Source organism: Homo sapiens, chromosome 1 (genome assembly GCF_000001405.40).
Source record: "Homo sapiens chromosome 1, GRCh38.p14 Primary Assembly".
Taxonomy (NCBI): domain Eukaryota; kingdom Metazoa; phylum Chordata; class Mammalia; order Primates; family Hominidae; genus Homo; species Homo sapiens.
This window is the reverse complement of record NC_000001.11, coordinates 50,192,378-50,210,457: the sequence shown is the minus strand read 5'-3', so window position 1 is coordinate 50,210,457 and position 18,080 is coordinate 50,192,378. Positions and strand designations below refer to the sequence as shown.

The 18,080-nt window shown below is 40.2% G+C and overlaps 1 protein-coding gene and 1 long non-coding RNA gene across 23 annotated transcripts in view; one reads left to right on the top strand and one right to left on the bottom strand.

Annotated features, from left to right (window-relative positions):
• Window positions 1-4,374, top strand: part of LOC105378711 (uncharacterized) — a 52,673-nt gene extending 48,299 nt beyond the window's left edge. Inside the window, exon 10 of the long non-coding RNA XR_947315.4 lies at window positions 4,150-4,374. This is a non-coding gene — a long non-coding RNA (uncharacterized LOC105378711). The remainder of the gene's footprint in view (window positions 1-4,149) is intronic.
• Window positions 4,375-6,685: 2,311 nt separating this feature from the next.
• The window catches only part of ELAVL4 (ELAV like RNA binding protein 4), a 155,718-nt gene continuing 144,323 nt past the window's right edge, over window positions 6,686-18,080 (bottom strand). For 10 of the 22 annotated variants that reach the window (NM_001144777.3, NM_001144776.3, NM_001437726.1 and 7 more), the window contains 4 exons: window positions 16,540-16,693; window positions 14,672-14,897; window positions 12,991-13,029; window positions 6,686-9,607 (listed from right to left, as the gene is read on the bottom strand). In NM_001144777.3, coding sequence (NP_001138249.1) covers window positions 9,280-9,607; window positions 12,991-13,029; window positions 14,672-14,897; window positions 16,540-16,693 — 747 coding nt within the window. In that variant the 3' untranslated portion in view covers window positions 6,686-9,279. Of the gene's footprint in view, window positions 9,650-12,990; window positions 13,030-14,671; window positions 14,898-16,539; window positions 16,694-18,080 lie in introns of all 22 variants that reach the window. The other 12 variants (NM_001324208.2, NM_001438736.1, XM_006710411.4 and 9 more) reach the window with 2 other exon arrangements.

The window sequence follows — 18,080 nt, the reverse complement described above, 5'->3', positions numbered from 1 at the left end:
TAGTGTTTTAAGCACTTAACACATATTAATGCATTTGACCCTCTCAACACTGAATAAGGCCCTTATAAGAGGCCTTATAAGTACTGTTATCAGTCATCTCTATTTTACAGATAAGTGTAATAGTCAAGGTTCTCCAGAGAAAAAGAACCGACAGGAGATGATAGATTGAAAGATATAAATATATAGGTTAGATATATGAGAGGGGGTTTATTATTTATTATTACTCATCACTATGAGTAAACTGAGGTTGAGAGAAGAGAATCCATTGGCTGAAATGTAGGCACTCCCCATTACTCTTAAGGATCAAAGTCCTTTCTGTGGCTTGCAAGACCCTTGATAATCTGGTCCCTGCTACCATCAGCCCCATTCCCCTCTCCACTGCTGAGTCACTGGGTTCCTCTCAGTCCCTCAGCTGAACATTGCTGCCGTCTACTCTGGCCCTTTGCCCATGCTGTTCCCCTGGCCTGGGATGGGACACACTGTCCTCATCCTTCAGATCTTTGCTCAAATGCCACTGTCTGAGAAAGGGTGTTCCTCCTCCTCAGCCAGGCAGGTGTTGTTGCTCACTGTCAGAACAGCCTGTACTTGACCTTGACAGCACTCACCTCAGCTGTATATAGCTGCTTTTCATCCTCTCATTGTTTCCTCAGTAACACATAATAGGTGGCCAATAAATACTTGCTGACCCTATGAAAAATGTAGGGGCAGAAGAATGTCTAGGAGTCAGCAGGAGGAAGACCATCAGAGACCATCTCATCCCACACCTTCCTTTAACTTCTGGGAAATTGAGAGGGGCAGTGACTTGCCCAACACTACACAGCAAGTCAGGGGCAGAGCTGAGGATTCTGACTCCTGGTCCTGGATCACTTCCATTGTTCCCAGTGGGATGCTCCTTGCCTCACTCCAGTGCCTACCCGTCCAAGTCTGTTCTATCCTTCATGAGACAGCTGATTCCTAAACATGTCTAGGATTCCTTTCATGTTACAGTTCAACCTTACCTCACCCCACAAATTTAGAATTGACTGCTCTTTTCTCTATGCTCCCCAAATACCCTGCAGCTTTGCTCTTGCCCTTCTATACTCTGCTTACACCTGAGCTTTTCCAGCGCAGGCACCATGCCTGATTCCTCTGTCCCCATGGAGGCTGCATGCAGCAGTACAAATATGGTATGTGAGTATGCTGTGATACAGGAAAGCAGAGGGATGTGGGATTATCAAGGAATCCTTAACCCAGCCAGGGTCAAGAAAGGTTTCCAGGAGGCAGTGAATCCTGAGCTGAACAAGCAGGATTAGCCAGGTGGGTGGTGCATGCATGCTTTGAGAAAAATGTGGGTTTGGAGTGGAGGAAAGGGCATTTTAAGGGGAAGAACCCTAATATTTGTGGAATAAGATGAAAACTAGTTACATAGGGTGAAGTGAAGGCAGGACAAGTCAAAACCCTTTTTCTCCCAAGGATTCAAATGAGGAAGTTGAACTGACTTTCAAGGGCTTTCCAGAGCTAAGTAACCAGGCAATGACAAGGCTGATTGTGTGACAAGCAGGGGAGGACTACCCTTTACAAATGGTTTAATTGGATTCATTTCCCATCTTGGCTGAGACTGAACTTTTGACTCTTTCTTATTCCTACAGCCAAGAGGAGTAGGGCTTGGAGATATTTGCCCTTTACCAGATATTTATGAACGAAGGGCCCTCACTTCCTTGCTCAAAAGCCTTCTGGTACTCTGCTTTCCTAAAGATGTTTCCTGCCTCAGCCTGCATGACCAACCCTTTTCCTCTTATTCCTGTGCTCTCCCTTTCCACTGCTGCCCACCTAAGCTCCTTAGTGTGGCCTCCACTCCTTTACCCTGAGGGGAAGTCTCTGTGACTCTTCCATGATGCTCCCAGCGGTCTAATTCTCAGGGGTGAATGAGATGGAGTGGCTGAGTCACTGTAATGGCCAGACACCAGAGGAGGGACCAATAGGGCCTCTGGTTGCTGAGGGCAATCAGAGCTTTTGCTGCCAAGTGGCTGGAGTTACTGTATTTCAAAAGCAGCTTAAGTTCCATGAGGCCAAGTGAGATTCCCAGCAACTTATTCCCACGTGTATTCCTACTATTTCTTCCCTCCCTCACTTGAAGTGACCAAACAGGATTTCTTGGTTCTTTACATTCAGGGGCATCCACTAAACCCACCTCTCCCTGCCAAAGGGCCTGGCCAAAGTTTTCTTCTTCTGGGAACTCTTTCTGGCTATTGTTTAATTCCTGCTACTCTTCAGTCAGTGCCAGGAACTTGGCATATTTTACTTCTAATCCTCCCTTCTCTGATCAGGAATTTCAGAGACATTAAATTTTTGTCCCAGGGACCCAAACCCAGAACTTTTTCACTAAAGCTAGTCCTCTTTCCATCAGGGCAAACTCTCCTTCCTTCCTGGATCCCAGAATACTCCTTGCATTCCCCACAGATTTTCACAATCTGAAATTCTCCCTCCAACACAAAAGTTACCTGTGCTACATCTCTGTGGCCAGATCATTGCTCCACAGGTCTTGTCTTCGTAATAGAACTCTAAATTTCCTTTCCTGCTTTTTTGGTTTTCTGTCATAACCCACTGCACAATTTCATGCACAAAACAGGTATACCAAAAAAAAAAAAAAAAAAGAAGCTAGACATGTTTATTTGTTGCCGTGCCCCTAGCTCAGTATCTGGCATATGGCAGGGGTTCAGAGTAAGGATTCTAGTGTAGACAAGGCTTAGACTGATTCCCCTCAACCCCCACCCTGCCATACCTCACACCTAGGCAGATGATCAACAAATGGTGTCACATTGAAAGCCAGCAATATGGTTTAGCAGAAAGACATTGTATTGGAACCGGATGACTTTTGTGCAAATTCCCACTCTGCAACATGCTGTGTAACCTTAGGCAAGGTATTTAACTTCTCTGTTTTTGTTAGATGTAAAATGAGGATTACTTTATATGCTTCCCAGGATTGTTCTGAGGATTCAGAGGCAATACAGATAGTGAAAGGAGTGGCCACTATGGTGCTATTGGTCCACACAATGGACCCATCTGTGTGTCATAGTGGGAGCTATCACTTGGGGAGACCCATGGGGCCAGCTCTGATGGTCCTTAAGTTGGCTTGTTAACATTCTTACCTGTCTGTCCTATCCTCAACTCCTTTCTACCTCAATGATTTGTGGTGGTTAAAATAGACCTATTAACAAACTAATTTCATTTTTAAATACTGCAGAGCAACAGTGCTTAAAAACTATCACTTTTAGTTATTCTTTGTTAATTTGCTTGTAAACCATTGATATTTGGTCTGTTTTTCCATTAAAGATTTGGGGAGAGGGTTAGACTCAGGCACAGTACATGAATGTAATTTCCTTTATTTCCTACATAATAGGACTCATCTCACCTTTAGTTGAAGTGTGGACCATGTGGTAATTATTTTGGCTCTAATTCTAGCATAATGGACTTGGAGCCACGGTGTGTAACTGGGGATCTTGGGGATCAGACAGACCTGGTACTTACACACCTTCACAAAATACCTAATCTCTCTGAGTTTCTTTCTGTTCAATGTAAAAGGGGGATGATACCCCTCACTAACGCTATATACATATAGAGTGCCTGCCATAGGAAAAACTTAATAAATGCCAGTGGTCTTTCTAGAAACAATTTCTTAAACCTTAGGGACCTTGCCGAAAATTGTTTGAAATAATTACATGGCATACTGGAATGTCATGTGAGTCCACTTTGCATTTGAACCACTAGTAGATTAAGCTGAACTCGCATAGAAAAGCCTTCTGGGAATTAACCTGGGGTTGGGTGATTTTAAACCAGTTTTCATTCTGTTGCAGAAACAAAAAGGATGAGACGGGAAAAACGCTATTCCTTTAATTGAAGGAACACTTTTATGTTCTCAGGTCTATTTTAATCTTAAGTGCTGATTATGTATCATTCTCTCCTGTTAACAGACACTTCTGTAAGTGATCTGCACAGAGAGAAATATGATTCTTACATAAATACTGTACCATGAGAAATTATCTTATTACCTAATACGCCAAAAAGCTAATAAGATAAGGGAATGGTACGAGTCATTTCTGGACAATATTAAAACTTGATTTCAGCTCATGGAAATAAAATGTAATTTCCTTTTATTATTCTCTTCTTCAGGTAGAACAAAGGCAGTCAAGGGTGCAAGGATATTAGAAGCTGTGTTCTGTGAGCTTTCATGAAGGCTGTGGAAGGATCCAGGCAGGATGGCCTCAAATTAAGATTTTAATGACTCTTTGGTTTAGAAAACACACTCTTGCTGTTAACGCTATCTTATCAGGTATCATTTTTGAATTCACAGATGAAAGTTAAAAAATTCATAATTATACAAATACTTGCCTTGTATGTTTGCCTGTGTGTGTCTGTTAAGGAACAAATGCATAGTGCCTACAGGAAGTAAGGGCAAAATAATTTCAAGGACTGGGAGTTTCCGGAATTACCTATGGCAAAGGAAATTGTGTGCTGCATTTTGACAAGGTTAAAAGTATCTACACCCAAATAGTGACTCAAGGAGAGTATGGGCGCCACAAGACCTTGTGAGTTTCAAACGTACATTTAAATGTTATTCTTTGGGGGTTAAAATGTTTTATTTACAAATGAACAAAGGTTGATTGATCTTGATAAACAGGACCCCAGGTGATCAAAATTTCTGGCAGTAACCATCATTTGGTCAGTGTTTGATCTTCGGTAATAGAAGTAAGTAAAGTTTTGATGTTGATGGTGATGATGTGGGGTGGTTTTAGACACAAACACATTTTTTTCACTCCTCCTATCACGTTGACAAAAATAACACTAAGTAAATGCCGTCAGCTTTCTATGACATGCAATTTTTCAACCAAGCAAAATACAATGTACCTAGGACCTCAAAGAAATGTAATAATCTCAGTATTCTTGTGATTTGTTAGACGTTTTCCACAAACACCTACAGAAACTATATATGTTTGCCTGGAGATTTAAGGTAACAGGCTTATATTCGCAACAAGATGAATTTTTTATTAGATGTTAGGCAGACACATTGTGCTGATGCTAGAAAGTGTTTCTGAGAGAGTATATGCAGAATGTCTTCTATGGACATTGTCAAGACCTATTTAAATACCTACATCTATTTGTAAAACTTTCTGCATAGATCTGTAGGAGGAGGCTAGTGAATGAACTTTATGAACTGGGAAGATTCTACTAACTTTGGATATTCCAAAATAATGCAGCCGTCCATTTAAAGTACACTAAAATGGCACCTTTAAGGAGCAGGGGTGGTGATGACTGGCAACTATCATAGGTTTGGCAGCAACATTTTTAGACCTACAAACACGGTTGTAAAGCTGTGTTATCCCTGTAGGAAACTGTTCTTTTGAATGTCCATTTTTTTTTTCTCCAGAAAAGAAACGTAGGGACTTGTCTTTAAGATAAAACTATAATAAGAACCTTTAAGTTCAACTATATGAGGTTTAGCCTGACTTAGAAGTTTAATATTTAGCTTGGTTAATTAAATCTCATTCTTTGCCCTGAATTTAATTATTCCAACTAATGTGGTAACTTAATATAATAATAAAAAAGAGGTTAATTAGAAATAGAAGAGAATCTGACTATTTGTTCATCTGGCTCAGTGGGGGCATTTCATGAAGTGTCAGTTTATGGATGGCAATGTTTTATAGAGTATAAATTTTCAGTTAGTGAGGAAATGAAAATGAAAGACAGTAGATAATCAGTGAGTGATTGTATCAGGAAATCACTAAAAAGCTAATCTGTAAAGTTCAGGGCATATTTTAATGTGACTTCATGATAATGTAGGCAGTATTTTTCTCCCTAGGTTGAGCTTAAATCATGTTCTTTAGACACATTATGAGTAATTCCTTGTTTTGAGTTTCTATTCAAAGGTAAGAAAGCCAAATATTTCCTACTTTTAAACAGAAATGAGTGCTAAAATAAAAAGATGACCTTTCTTGCTTAGCTGTCACTTTCAATACAAATGGTCTGCTTTCTTAATATTTCTTAATGCTCAAGTTCTGCGACCTTAATGCTGAGGTGCTGTGCAGTGGAATCAGACTTGGATTCAAATCCCAGCTGGAAATTTGCTTATGGTGTCAAGTTACTATTCTTATTGAGTCTCAGTCTTGTCATCTGTGAAATGAGGATAAGGTTGTCTACACTCCTCGGGTTGCTGAGGATAAAGTGAGAGAATATAGAGGATACCATACAGCCTGCCCGTTACATAATAGGTGCTCTGCAAATGGTGGCTCCCTGTCCTCTGAACAAGTCACAAGCCTTCTTATAAATGAATAACAGGTGCTAATGTATCATAACACCAAAGGTAAGGCCAAGTGTTCTGGCTTATGAACCAGGGCAGTGCTCCTTAAACTTGAAAGTACCAGTGATTCATTCACCTGGGGATCTGGTTAAATGCAGATTCTACATTTCTAACAAGCTCCCAGATGATGCTGATACTGCTGGTTGGGGACCACCACACTTTTAATAGCATGGAACCAGAACAGTGACTTCTGAATATCGAGCTGACTTTAAGAGACTGGGCTAAGCTGTAAAATAAAATTTTACTCTGCCTTTTCTTTTCCCTGGTTTAATGATAAAAATATTGGGGAAATCTGAAGATGGTACAGAAAAAAAGTTTAAATAAACACATTTAAAAATTTGGGAAGTCAAATCCATTCTACACACTTTCATTTATTGTCTGGACAGATAAAGTACAAATAATTCAAACACAACAAGATTATGAAAAAAAAACATTTACAATACTTTCCCTTGGAAATCATCTAAACTAGCAAGATTAACATGAAGTCATTCATTAATAACTAAAGTATACAACTGCCTGGTCCTAAGATTTTTTTTCCTTTTTTTTTCCCCCAAGATTGAACACATTATAGAGAAGATTTTGGCATGCCTTTCCCACTAATGCTTAGCAAATGCATCAAAACTTTGCCAGCAAACTACGTTCATTCATAGCAGGTGACGTAAAAAGCTTTCCCTGAATGTTGAACGAGTGTTCTCTGAACTGAAATCTGGTGTTATATCCAAAACCGAAAAGAGGAAAAAAAAACAGAAAAAAAATTTAAAGGAGGAGTCTATGATGCAGCCTTGGTATTCGTTATCTGTCTACCACTACAACGACTACTACAAAGTTTGCCTTTTCAGTGTGAAAACAACAGTCCTGTCTACATGCACTTAGTGGGTTCAGCATGGGAAAAAATGCACAAAATAAGCACAAGTTATAAATAACCATAACGTTTTATTACCATTAAGACTAAACTTGTATTGAAAAGATTTTATATAACAAGACAAGAAAAGCAATAGCAAATTTAACTATCAACTAGATTATGCATAGCGAGTAACTGTTTCTATTACCCAGGGAAGAGCATGAACCCTTGTATTTTTTTGTTTTGTTTTCGTTTTAAATATATAACCGTACAAAGCACAAACATACTAAAATGATCAGTGCACTGGACGTGGGAGAGTGCTCCCTCAGTCATTTTGTTCCCTTAGCTCTGTTTTGTTTTCCCCAATCTGAGTTACATTAAAATAAAGACTCAGTTGTTTTTATTTTTCTACTGTGCAGTAAGAAAAAATATTCACAACAAACATGACAATATATCAAAGAATAGTTCTACACAAGTTACCTTGATACCTCTTTAACTGTCACTTAAATATCATAAGAAAACATTTTAAGACATATACAAACAAAACTAGCCAAGTGTTACAACTTATAATAAATTAACCCAAAGAAAAAATAACTTTATATATATATATTTATATTGTATATACACATACACACACAACAGAATGACACAATAATATGCTTCTTCCCATAGTTTAAGTAAACAAATAAGTAGTCTAGCCAATCTAGCTATATTTGATCTCGGCCATAGGCATCATCACATCGGCGATTAAATAAATAAGTGTTTCAAGCAACATAAACAGTGTTTCAAATGTACCAACACAGCCCAATTCTATCAGCATGGGCTACAAAGTGAATTTGAAAATTTCTTAATGAATTTAAAGCAAATGTATCTTTTGTTTTCCTCTCCTAAACACATTACATTTAACTATGATACTAAGATATGTAAATAATTTTGTAGCACCTACTGCTCAAACTAAGGAAGTTTTAGATCAAAAGGAAAATTAATCTTTTTAATTTTTGTTCTGCTGACATCCCATACTGATGACTTAAAGAAAAACTGTCTTTCAACTCATCTCCTTGCTTTTGGGTTTTGACTGTGGGGAACTGTGGTACCCTGGGTAGAACGAACACTCCTTTCCCCTAGTAATTAATAATTGTTTTTTAATTATTATTACATGCTATGAAAAGATATGAAGATCATCTGTTTATAGCCCATCCTTCAAAAAACAGTCTACGAATCCAGTTTAAAACACACATCTTGATCTCTAAAAAGTTACCAGTGCAGTATGAACGCGACAAAGTTGTCAATTTCCCCTAAATTAGCCAGTCAAAATATTTTTTTCTCAAATCCAGATTCTCTTGTAAAAATTCTTTATATTTTATAAAAATAGATTTTTCTTGAAACCCATTTTCAGCAAAGAGACCACCTCTTTGGCAACAATGTTAATGTTATTAAATTGTTAATGTCATCAGGTATCCCCCTTGCCCCCATCCCCTAACAGAAGACTGTTTTAGTTCACATGATATAAAAGAAAGAAGGAAAAATAAAAAAATTTGCAAAAGTTTTTTTTTATTTTTGCAATTTTTATTATTCCTCTTTAATTTGTGTGGGGGTTTTTACCAATCTGATTGGATCGATATTTTGACAAAAAAGAAAAATCTTTTTTTCCTTTCTTTGAATCCCATTACTTTGTAAAAATTGTTTTATTTTTATTATTTTTTTTGTTTTTTGTTTTTCTTCTTCAAATGAGCGAATGGTCATCTTAAAAAGATCCACCTTCAAGGAAGGTAGTAAAGTTAGCTGGCTGGGTAAAAATCCCTGCACATCGCTATCTATGTATATTATATTCAACAACGACAGCTATGAAAGAACATTCAATGCATCAAAGGTATTTTTTGTTTTTTTTTTTTCTTTTTTTCTAAGCATTATAAAATCCTTTCCTGGTACACCTCAGGATAATCCAATGTTTTAATACTTAGGCAACACTGGCTTATAAAGTCCATGGTTGAATATAAGCCTTGAAAAGTTTGTTTCTCTCTCTTTCGTGTATGTGTGTGTGTGCGCGCGTGTGTTTTGTTCGTATATATTTCTATATATATTTTAGTAAGTAAGAATGGGAAATTCAGGACTTGTGGGCTTTGTTGGTTTTAAAGGAAACTTGCAACACTCTGTCTCCCAGGCGGTACCCGTTGAGGCTGGCGATGGCCATGGCCGCCTCATCATAGTTGGTCATGGTGACAAAGCCGAATCCCTTGCACTTGTTGGTGTTGAAGTCACGAATCACCTTTACGTTGTTCACTGCTCCAAAGGGGCCAAAGAGCTGCCAGAGGACACTCTCATCGGAATCGGGGGACAGGTTGTAGACAAAGATGCACCACCCAGTTCCTGTGTGACCAGGGATGTTCATTCCCACAAGGCTTGTCATTCCATCAATGGTAATTGGGGAGAACCTGGGGGGACAAGCAGAAGGGGGGACTGGTCCAGACATCAGTCTGACCAAGGATAACACACAGATGCACAGACACAGACATGGGGCAGAGGGCTGAGTGAGTGTTTACAGGAGAGTCTTCAGGGTTCAAAAACCAAAATGTAAAAACTAATGTCTATGTCATTTCCTCTGATGGGAATGGCTTGACTGGCTAGGGCATGTTCATGCTGAGAGAAAGACCTAGGTCAATTTCTAAAAACCATAAGGGACTCCCAGGGCTCCCAGAGCAAGGCTCTGTAACAGTTCTATCACAGTATATGCTCATAGCGCACCCCAACCTGACTCCACCCCACCCCGACTCCACCCCACCCCAACAATAGACAATGTGCTCTTGGAGGAAAGGGTCTATTTCATTCATTCTGTGGCTCTATTTGTTTATTCAGTGGAGCACATATGGGAATCTCACAGATATAGTGACACATAGAAAATGCTCAATAAATATTTATTGGTTGAATAAGTGACTCACTTTGGCCAGTGCTTGGGAAATTTCATTGTTTTTTTTTTTAAAGGCAGATTAGGAGATGGCCCTAAAGTGCTTAAGTCTACCATTTTTGCACTCCCTTGACCTACGGTTGTCAAATGTTTCTTGGTGAGGATGGAGATACGTGACAATGAACAGGCCTTTCTTGCTATTAAACAGATGGGTGGTTCATGTTTCATTTAGCATTTATTCAAAAGGGTTTCCCCCACAAACTCAAGCAATAATAATAAAGATGTATTACTCCTTTATGCTATGTTATCTGGAATTTATTCCTAAGTATCACTGAAGCAAGACTGCAAGTGGTTTGTGCATTTATATATCTTGAATCGCTATACATTAGAAAAGCATAGAATTGTTATTTGCCCTATTACAACTGCTTTTGTATTAGGTTTAGAAATCTTCTCAGTTTTTGTGCAATCCTGAAAAGAAAAAATGACCCTTTAAATTCTATTCACTGTCTGATGAAATAAATCCTTGTGTAATTTGTGAGGGATGTACCAGATGAAACAATTAGGTTACCAGTGCCTATAGCAGAACAATATTTGTTAATGTTTTGTTTCATATCAAACTTACATAGGGACTTTTTTCTTTTTTTTTCTTTCTTTCTTTCTTTCTTTTTTTTTTGAGATGGAGTCTCACTCTGTCACCCAGGCTGGAGTGCAGTGGCGTTATCTTGGCTCATTGTAACCTCTGCCTCCCGGGTTCAAGTGATTCTCCTGCCTCAGCCTCCTGAGTAGCTGAGACTACAGGCACGCACCACCATGCCTGACTAATTTTTTTGTATTTTTAGTAGAGACGGGGTTTTGCCATGTTGGCCAGGCTGGTCTTGAACTTCTGACCTCAGGTGATCCACCCACCTTGGCCTCCCAAAATGGTGGGATTACAGGCATGAGCTTATATACGGATTTTTGATGCTATACACTGAATAGTTTCTTGCTTTTCATTTGGCCAGGGTTTTACTGGGGGAGATAGGAAAAGGAGAGAAAGCAAAAACTAGGGAAGAGCATGGTGTAAAGTGTGAGCTACAACTGTTTTTAAAAATAAGCAAATATTCTTGGAGATTTGAAAGTCCTATTAAAGAATAGTTCTGTATCTAACTAGAATTTGGATAATCAAATGGCTACTGAATATATGCTAAATATAACAACTCAATAGACAATATTTTTGCTATTATTCACTAAGTCAATCTTCCCTCTTGTTTAAAAACAATTAACAAGAAAAAGCCAAAAAATATCATGGTGTAGATCCTTAGACGTGCAAATCCATGTCTATTTGTAACTTGTATCATTTCTGAAGATTGTCTTTTTAATATTCTATCCTCCAACCAAGTGAGTTGACCCTGGTGAACTGACCTCTTTCTGTTTATAGGTAGAAAACAGCTAAGTATTTATTATAAGTCAAAGGTCAGGGCCAGCAAAGAGATTGCAAGTACAGCCTCTATCCTAGTTGGTGACAGTTAATTGCAGCATTTTGGTAGGAAGCGTTCTAAATCCAAATCTGGGTTCAATAGGAAAAGAGAATGCTATTATCAGCTAGTGATGTTTACTCTGGGTGGGGCAGTGGAGGAGGTGGTGGCAGGCCTACTACAGCTGTGTCTTCCCCTATCTTATCTATTTATAAGCATTTCTCTTTTCACAACATTTAGCACTACCTCACTAACATCAGAGAGGAGCAAAGGAATGAGATAGAGCTAGGAAAGATGTAAAATCCCTGGGAACAGGCAAACAGTGTGCTGGAAATGTGGAGATAATTCATAGTTATCCTCATTGATGCTGGGATTGAGATTTGAAAGGCCGGTCCTCTGATAGTGAAGTCTGCAGTCAGGTTACTTCCTCTACCATGCACCAGTTCCCAGAGTCAGGGTACTTACCATGGATGGCCAGTGAAAGAACTGGGGGTGTGATGTGGACTATTAAAGACTACATCTCTTTCCCTTGACTGTAGGAAGGGGAATTAAAGTGTGCAGCTCTACTGAGCAAGATGATGAAGACACTATGTCCCTAGCAGTGCAGTGGAGCTTATCAGAAGCACATATGGGAATCTCATGGACACAGTGACATCACACACCCAACTTTCCAAGATTCAGATTTCATACTGGGTCTGGAAAACTTTGAATCTGCATTCAGAGAGCCCCAAAAGCCTTGACTCTGGGCCCCCAACCCCACAAAAAGCCTTTCAGTGACAGGAACAGCAAGTTTAAAACACACATAACATATAACCAAGGGAGGATTTATAAGAACTGTTAAAACCTGTAACAAAAGAAACCCCTGGTTGAGGTGCACACAGATACACTTCATTCTCAGGATGTGCTCTGAAATGCACACTGAAGTGGGGGCAGGAGTTAGAAAGTCATCCACGTGTTTGTTTATCCTTTGGCCAGAGCTGGTAGTCCAAAATCTAATTTTTCTACTGAAAAATCATAAGATTGTCAACCACAATTAGCAAAATGTTCTAATTCTGATTTGCTGGAATCTGCCCTCTTAACTGAATCTTGGCATTGCTAATGCAAAACAGTTTGCTCTGCAAGTTTGCAAAACCAGCCAGCAAAGAGTCGGAGCCTTTCCCCTTAGGGGAGCCATTCAAAGGACCAGATTATTAAGGGCTTGGTAGCTGTGGCACCTGAACCATAGGAGAAGCCCACCTGCAAATAAAAGAAAAAGTGAAACACACAAATACATTTTGTGTGCCCTAAAAGAAACAAAATCAACTGAGGTCCGAAATTAAAATTAAGAATTTGACATGCTGGTGGAAGAAAAAGGAAGAATTTTTTTCTTTTAAAGTAAAGTTAGTGAATTAAAAAAAAAAAATTCTAGCCCCAGTCTGTGCCAACATGGACATCTGGCAATCTGTGGAGTTTTAATTACCTCTTTACGCCATAGGCCATATTAAGCAAATTGTCCAGCCTGCAAAGAGAAGGAGGGTCTCTGGGTTAATGCCTCACAGATGGCAAGATCGCTCAATGGAACTATTAATAAGAATGCTCCATTTTCAAAGAAGAAAAGCTCAACAACTTTCCCCACTGCTTAGGAGTCTATCCACCGGTAGTTTCCCCCTTTTCTGTCTCTAACTGCAAGTAATTCATGTTCAGGTCATTGCTAGAGTTTAAAGCAAGTGTCTAATGAGTCTCCCTTTCTTTCAAGGTCTGAATTAATACCATTCCCCCCACCTCTCAGAACATTTGTGTGGATTTTGTTTTATATTGTAGTGAAATTGTTCAAAGCGGGGGCTTCTTAAATTGTTCACCTTTTTACTATAATTAAACTTGTAAATAAAGGTCTCTGTTCCAGATTAACAATACACAGGCACACAATATGTATCAGAACAGATCTTTTCTGTTAGCCTTGCTACATTAACTAAATCATCTTACTACACACATTTTTGGGAGGCAGGGGGAGTTTGCAGGTTAAGATTTTTAAAAAGTGGCTTACTGTTTACTGCCTGATAGCACCTCCCAGCAAACTGCCATTACGCTATAATCTTCCTCACATTCACTACCTTACTTGGGGACAAGCTATTCACACCATAGGGCAGTAGTAACGATAGTTTCCACCATTAGAAGTCTGCTGGAGAGGCTTTTTACATAAATACTGCATGTGCTCTCAAGCAAAATAAAAATTAGATGACTTGGACTCTTCATGAAATCATTAACCATTTCAAATTCACAGGGCATAGGAGGACACGAAAGAGGATGATTTTTCTCCTCATGTAGCCAGATGGAGCATACTATCCTAGATAGAAGGACCTACTATTTCCCATGTGAAGTTTCTCAAAGAGAAAAACATTTTCATCAAAGGGAAGCTGGGCTGTGGTGTGGAATAAAGTAATTGTTTAGAATTTATCATGGGTAAGTCAAACATATTTTTATCTCTTGTATAATAGAGACCAGTCAAGGTCATACTGCCTTCATGGAGAGAAACCTGTCTTTTAGAAAAGTCCCAGGAGAAGGGCAATGCCCCCCTGCCCCAGGAGCTTCCTGGGGGTTGGGTACTTGAAGGAAACACTAATCAGGCTTGGACAGGATCTTCCTCCCTATCTTCCCAGAATCTACTGACTTAACATAATAAGGTTAACACCAAAGGCACTTCCCCCTCCCCTGAACTCAACAGAGTTACCTGCCGAGGGAAAAGAAGATAGGAAAAACAACTCCTTCTGGCAAGGATCTGCCTTATGGTCTATTTTTTGAATTTATTAAAAGCCACTGTCCAGCCTTAAGTCTAATCTGCTGAATGTGGTCACTGATCTGTGATTAACTCTTGTTGAAACTGAACCTTCATGTTTGGTTAAATACAGACATTTTGTTTCTACCAAAGAATCTAAAGTTTATACAGTCACAGTAGTAAATTGGAAGAGGGCTTAGAAGGGCATCTGCTCCAACTGTCTCATTTTACAGGAATGGAAACTGAGGCTCGGGGGGAGTTTTGCACAGTGATTCCTGGGGGTGGAAGCTTTTACCCTTGCCCCATTTGTCAGGACCATGGGCTTCCCTGGCTCTTGCCCAGCTATGAACCCCTGTAGCAGGGCTTCTTCCTCTTTGGGCATGCCTACCTGAACCTCTGAGCCTGGTGGTGAAGTGGACCTGGGTAGCGCCGGTTGGGGGACTGGTAGAGCTGGGAGAGCAGGGCCTGGCTGGACTTCTGGCTGGGGTTGTTGGCAAACTTCACAGTAATCGGTTCCGTAGCACCGCTGGGCTTCTGGCCATTCAGCCCTTTGATGGCTTCTTCTGCCTCAATCCTCTTATCAAAGCGGATGAATCCCACCCCTCTGGACACTCCTGGGGAAAGAGAAAGAGCCTTTGTAAAGAGTGAACACACCAAACTGGTAAACATCTTTGGGAAGAGATGGGTCCTGTGGATATTGTGTGAGGAGTAAGCCCACCTGTGGTGCCAGGGCTGAGCCCAGCTCCCTGATCTCTCTCACCAATCAAAACACGTTTACCTGCATTCCTGCTATCATGGCTCTGGACTGATGCCTCCCAGCCACAGAACACAGGGCTCTCTTGCATCTGGCCCCTCTAGTCCTCTATCACTGCTCTGCCCCATCATCACCTCCCAAAAGTTACTATAACTGATCACTCACTGTCCAGTTTCTAGTCTTCTCATGTGTCCTCCACATGTAGCTAGTGTGCAATCTATTTGAAAAGTGAACTCTGACCACATGATATGCTTTAAAAACATCTTCTGTATCTCTTTTGTACTTTTTGAATTTTGTACCTTGTGCATAGTACCTATTCTTCACTGACTCCCATTCTAAAATGAATAACAAACAAACAAAACCTACAAAATACCCTTCCATGGCTCCATTCTGCACCCAGATAAAGTCCAGACTTCTTGGCACAGCATTCAATGCCTCTGGCAATCTGGCCCCAAATTCCCTATTGAGGCTCACACCAGCCACCCTGAACTGCCTGATCCTCCTCGAATAGACTGTTCTTCCTCGATTCCATGCCTTGGGATATGCTCTCCTCTCCACTTACACTGCTCTGTCCCTCCTTTTTGCTGGATACCTCTGAAACATCCTCCAAACTCCTATTCAAACATTGCCTCCTCAATGGGGCCCTCCTAGCAATTCCCACCAGGCATGGCACACCTTCTCCTGAGCTCTCAGGGGCACTTGACAGCTTCTAGCAAGTATTTGGACTCCACACTGGAGTCCTGTAAGGGTGGGGCAGTGCCTGCTTCTTTCTTGGTCTCCAGGGTCCCTCTGCACAATGTCTAGGGCAGAGCAGACTTCTGTGAAGGTTTGTCTCATGAATCACATGATAAACGTGCTAAACTATTCTCAGGGGGTGAGTTCTAAATTGGAATCAAATTGGAGGTAGGCGAAAACACCTTGTCATTAAAAGTGCAACCCAGAGTACCTGACATTTCTTACTGAGAGGTGGTGGCTGCCTTTCTTTATTATGGACAAAGAACACCAGTACCAGATCCTCGGTTCAGATCCTTGTACTGCTACTAACTAGCTTTGGGGAGTCAGATCCCCCACTTTCAACCTGTTTCCTCAAGTGTGAAATGGGACAATTCCTTCTAACTCTATAATGCTATGAATTGGAGTTACAGCTATGCATACAGGTTCTTTTCACATACAAAAGTAATGTTATTTGGTTGAGGGCTGAATCAGACTTTGAAGGTCATACAGTTCCACTCTCAGCCTGATGCCTGAATCCTTTTTACAACCCTGGCAAGTAGTTTAGCTGCTGCTAAAACAAGTCCCATGATGGAGAACTCCTACCTCCCAAGATGGCCCATTTTAAATTTGGGCAGTTGACCGATAAGAAGTCTTTCTTCCAAGTCAAAAATCTGTCTATTCATGATCCATATCATCTGCTTTAAGCAGCCATCAGCCTTCTGCTCTTATGAGTAACAGGGCTGATGACATTGATATACAAGGAAAGAAATTACAAAGAAACACTTAACCTGTGACTTGATCAACCAGGATTCGTGAGGTGATGATACGGCCGTATTGCGAGAAAAGTTGCTCCAGTTCCTTCTGGGTCATGGTTTTGGGAAGGCCGCTAACATAGAGGTTAGCATCCCTGATTGAGGCAGAGCTCGGACGGGCATATGAGACCTAGGAAAAGGCAAGAGGAGCTAATTCCATTATAGGCAATCACCCTCAGAGTAGATGCTGAGTCCACAACCAAGATGACAGCCCCTCATCTACCGTTACAACTCATGGTGTCAGTTTAAATCACTCAGTAGTTCAGATTTTTAGCTACCCTTGTAATAGTAATGAGAACCAGGAGAACAACAATAGAGGAACAACAGGAGAGTTGACAATAACTTAAAACAAATGCACAGATAAGGGTCTCTAAGTGCAGAACAAAATAGCTACTGTATGGCAGCTGTTAAATGCAGAGCTACCCACACATGGAGTTCTGAAGATTTACCTCCTGGAAGTGGGTGTATAGATGATTTACTGTATCCAACACATAATAATCTTTGAATAAACCAGAAAAAAAAAAAAAACCTCATGAAATTCTGCTCTGCACATTTCTCTCCTTGCCACCCTCCCTACCCCCATCCCCTTCTTCCTGAATACATAAAAGCAATCAGGTTCTCTGCAAGATTTTTTTATGTTCCATCCTTTGTGTTGCTCCAGTCTGTTCCCATGAGGTCTGCTCTCACCAAATGACAAAGTGCTGGTGAAATAGGGCTGAATGAACATCTGCTTGCGAAACTGGATATGTGACCTTGTCGTCACATCTGCAAGGACCAGTCGCCTCTAACTTTGAAGCAGGGCAGATAAAAACCACAACAAATAAAATGGGGGCAAGATGGAAAGGAGGGAGGGAAAGGGCAGTAGAGAGAGAGAAGAGAGCCTCACCAATGGTTATAATAAGTTCGACTTTGTAAATTTGTCCTCCCAGATCTCTCAACTGCTTTTCTTCCCCCCAAAAGCTAACACAGAAGTGTAAACAGATCTGAAATTCCATCTGCAAGAAGCCAAATCTGTAGCAGTACACATAAGCAAAGCAAACCCCAGCAGTCATTAATTTTAGACTTTCATTTACTTATTTATTTATTTTTTAAGAAAACAACATCAGACATTTGAAATATAATTTACAGCTAGTCTAACAAAAGCACTTTCCTGCTAAAGCTATTTCTGGGGTGGTTATGGCTCAGAATAGATGATGAAAACAGTCATTTCAGAGCACATCTGACAACGTTGGACAGGAAGAGACCTATATGCCTTAGCGTTTTTCAGTTGGAAGTTCTATTTAATCCATACAACTGATTCATAAGACCTATTAAGACTGTAGGGGTGAGAGTGTGTGTGTGTGTGTGTGTGTGTGTGTGTGTGTGTGTGTGTGTGCGTGCACACAAAAGCATGTGTGCAAAAGGAATTGAACACATTAAACCAGACCTTTGACATTAAGACCTAAACCTCCAGCAGTAATGTGGACCCTGCTTCTGTGACCTTCAGGGGAGAGAATGGGTCTAGCAAAGAAGATGAA